The sequence below is a fragment of the Homo sapiens genome, chromosome Y, assembly GCF_000001405.40.
Source record: "Homo sapiens chromosome Y, GRCh38.p14 Primary Assembly".
Lineage (NCBI taxonomy): Eukaryota > Metazoa > Chordata > Mammalia > Primates > Hominidae > Homo > Homo sapiens.
In genome coordinates, this window is record NC_000024.10 from 22,265,259 (window position 1) to 22,269,318 (window position 4,060).

Below are 4,060 nucleotides of genomic sequence, written 5' to 3' on the forward strand. Positions count from 1 at the left end.
TATGTGCAGTTTTTTTTATGAGGTTCCAAAGAGAGGATATATTAATAGCACACATTATAAACATTAGCCTACTGAATTATTAAAAATTAAATAAAGAAGCACTAAGACAAGTATTAAAATTGTATAAACAATTATTAGTTATCTTTCATTAGTTAGCAACAGCATCGATAAGTTAACCAGCAGCATTTTTACCAGGTCAGAGGGTGGTTGAGTACTCACTGGGATTTATTATGTGAAACAATGCCTAAATAAACCTCAAGAAAATGTACAGATTTTATGTACACAAAAGATAGTAGGTAACCTACTTAGAGATTCTTTGAAATTTCTACTTGTATGGGCCCTTTCACCCTATTAGAATATGGGGCAGGTCAAGTTCTCCTGGGATGTTGTGGGAATAGTCTTTTTTGCAGATTGGTTCATGTTTTTAGAATTTTTATTTTTCTCAGGCCACTACTATGGCTCAGTCATTATGTTTTCTCTGGAGTGGTTGGTCTGGGGCAGATGTTCCCAACCTTTCTGGCGGCAGGGACTGGTTTCATGGAAGACAATTTTTCCACAGATCATGAGTGGAGAGGTGATGCTTGCAGGATGATTCAAGGACATTACATTTATTTTGTCCTGTATTTCTATTATTAAAACGTTGTAACATGTAATTAAATAATTATATAACTCACCATAATGTAGAATCTATGGGAGGCCTGAACTTGTTTTCCATCCTGGGGTGATGGCAGACAGTGACAGATCACCAGGCATTAGATAATCATAAGGAGTGCACAACTTAAACCCCTTGCATGGGCAGTTCACCATGGCATACAAAAATCTAATGCCACTTCTGATCTGACAAGAGGTGGAGCTAAGGTGGTAATGCAAGCGATGAGGAGTGGCTGTAAATACAGATGAAGCTTTGCTGACCTGCCAGCCACTCACCTCTTGCTATACAGCCTTTCCTAACAGGCCATGCACTGGTACCCTGGTCTGGGGTAACCGAGTCAATGTTTAGAATCATCAAAGTCTTTAACGTGGTTAGCATATCTAGAACAAACAGTGTGTCCAGATAAAAAGGGGCTACCTATGGGGAGTGATTAGTCACTGCTGTAAAGTTAGTCTATTAAGGTTGATTTGATGTGTCTTACGGTTTTTATCAAGACAGTGCTTGCTGAATAAATATGCAATAAATGATAACCATATATTCAAAATTAGTGTTTCCCCCAGGTTCCACCTGGGTTTGTTTTCATGTGATCACTTCATTTCTTCATGGAGTAGTCATAAGAATACTCAGTTGAATGCTCAGTTGAACCTTGGGGGAAACATACATCACTGTTTATAAAGCAAAACGTAACTGAAGTAAATTGTTTGTTTTGTGTCTCTTGGCTCTGCTAAAGTCCCCAGAATAATTGCAGTTTAAAACGTTGTCATAGACAGTATATATTTGAATCTATGCATATTTATGAACTATGAAAATGACTGCCATATTAATAACAACAGTAATATAAAACAGTTTCTGGGCACTTGCTGGAAATCAAATGTCAAAGGTAGAATCAGAGACCAAGTCATTTAGAAAAGAAAATAAATTCATTTGCAGAAAACTATTAATTGGAGTACAGGTTTTAACAGAACTTGCTCTAAAATTTTAAAAAATATGACTAGATATTTAATTTATCAAATTTGTAACATTCATGATGGACAATTAATAACTTCTTTGAATTATTGTCAAATCAGATTATATTTTTCCATTTCTATATATCAACATTTCAAAGGCCAGGATAGTTTTCAGTAACTTACAGAAAAGCTCAGGGTTTTATTTAATTTTTGGATTAGAACTAGACAGAATGAGTCTGTTTTTGTTGTTGTTGTTGTTGTTGTTGTCATTGTGGTTTACCTTAGGGAAAATGAAGCATTTAAAATGTTTTTTCCTTGTGTGGAATATGATGTAAACCTTATTCCTTTAATGGAGCAGGGTAAAGTGATACAGTATTTCCTTATAGACATTGTGCTAGGCACTCGATTCACTTATCTCTAATACCAAGACCATGATGGTCACAGGGCACTATTTACTCAATGAATTTTACAGTTACACTAGAGGTGGAGTTTAACTTGTATTAGTAACACATTAGGCTTAGTAAATAATTTAGTGAGCCCCTTGAGAATGATCTAAGATATGTGCACCTAATTTTACCAAATGTATGATCAATATTATTTCCTGTTAGAGACTCATGATGAGGTTACAGAGAAATTAAAAACTAATTAAACATATAGAACCAAAATTTTCATTCCCTAGTTCAAACTCACAAGTAAATTTTGCTTTCTTTAAGATGCAGAAATAATTACTTGTTTTTGAAGAATCTCTGTCTCTCTCTCTCTGTCTCTCTCTCTCTGTTTTCCTCTCTCTGTTTATCTGCTTTTCTCTCTCTCTCTCCCTGTTTCTCTCTCTCTGTTCTGTCTCTCTTTGTTTATCTGCTTCTCTCTCTCTCTCTCTCTATCTCTCTCTCTCCCACTTCATGTTATATGATAGCAAAAGGATGAGGCAAGAATAGATGTTCTCTAAAGACAGATATTGCCTGTTTGAAAAGCTAAGGACTGATTTTTTTTAAACAAAGCCAAATATAGCATCAGTGATGAGGACATCTTATTTTTGTTATTACTGCTGTTTCATTCAAGAAACTCAAAACTAGGACAAGATTTATTCACACATATACAGGTAAGAACAGCTTAACCACAATAAAGGGATGTCTACATTGATTTGGGTGAAAATTGCAGGACCCCATTTACATGGGAATATGGTATTTTAAAATAAAAAAGCTGAAGTTATAAGCATTCCAATTCACATTGTGAATTGTCTTTTTATATAAAATGAGATAATGTAAGTAAGACCCTTCTGTTTTAATTGTTATTGCTATTGAGGTTATCATCCCTATTCTTGTTAATGTTACTTACTTTTAATTTTCTGTTTTAATTGTTATTGCTACTGAGGTTATCATCACTGCTCTTGTTAATATTGCTTTTAATTTTCCTGTATAGGCCTTAGTCTAACACTTTCTGTACCAAATGCTTGTTTGGCAAAACTATTTTTTTTAGGTAAAGAGTGTAAAAGTTAGTGTATCAATAATGCTGCCTAATTACCCATACCAAAACTTGTGGCATTTTACAGTAAGCATGTACTTTTTGCCCTTGTAATTGAAGATAAAGAGGGATTTTTTTACTCTTCTAAGCTTAGTTGGACTTGATTTTGTCTCGGTCTACTCTAATGTGTTCTCTTTAAGCCTGCAGTTAAGTTATTTTCTCCTTATAAAGAAAAGCAGGAAGGCAAGAGTGTAAGTTCAGTTGCCAAATACATTTCAAGACCTTCCTTGTTTCCCATGTCTGAGCATCCCATTGGCCCCTAACAGGAAACAAGCAAAAGGAAAGCACAATTCTGCCATGGAAAGTATGAATATGTGCTAAACAACAGGACTATTAATTTTAAATAATAAGCTGTTAGGTGTTTTTTATTCTGTGAACAATTAGATTGCAATTGACTTGTACATGTTACCTTTCTACTAGAAATCCATACCTAGAAAGTTTTAACCCTTGCTCCTGATTTAGAGATGTTCAGTTGTCAGATCTTTTCCTCACTTCCACTGGCTGTATTCCTCCCCTCTTCTAACCACCCTCCTACTTATTTTGGAATCAAAGTGAATTATGTCTTGCCTGGCAGTCTTTATTAATATTGGATCCTGCAGTTATAAAGATTGTTATGTATCTTTATAGTTCTTTTGGCATTATTACTATGGGAAAATGTATACCTTTTGCAAAATATCTAATTTGAAATAATTTTGTAACATAATCCATTTTATGAGAAGAAATTCCTTCTCTCAAACACACACACACTTATTCTCCATGACAAATTTATTATAATTCAAATAAACATGAAATATTAAATTTAATTTATATGGTTAGTAGAGATTGTTTTTTGTTAAATACAAGGTAAGTTGATATGTTAAGATTTTTTTCTCATTTTATCACAAAATTGCCAAACACATGTGCTAAAGCATTAATACACAGTATCATACATATGAGATTC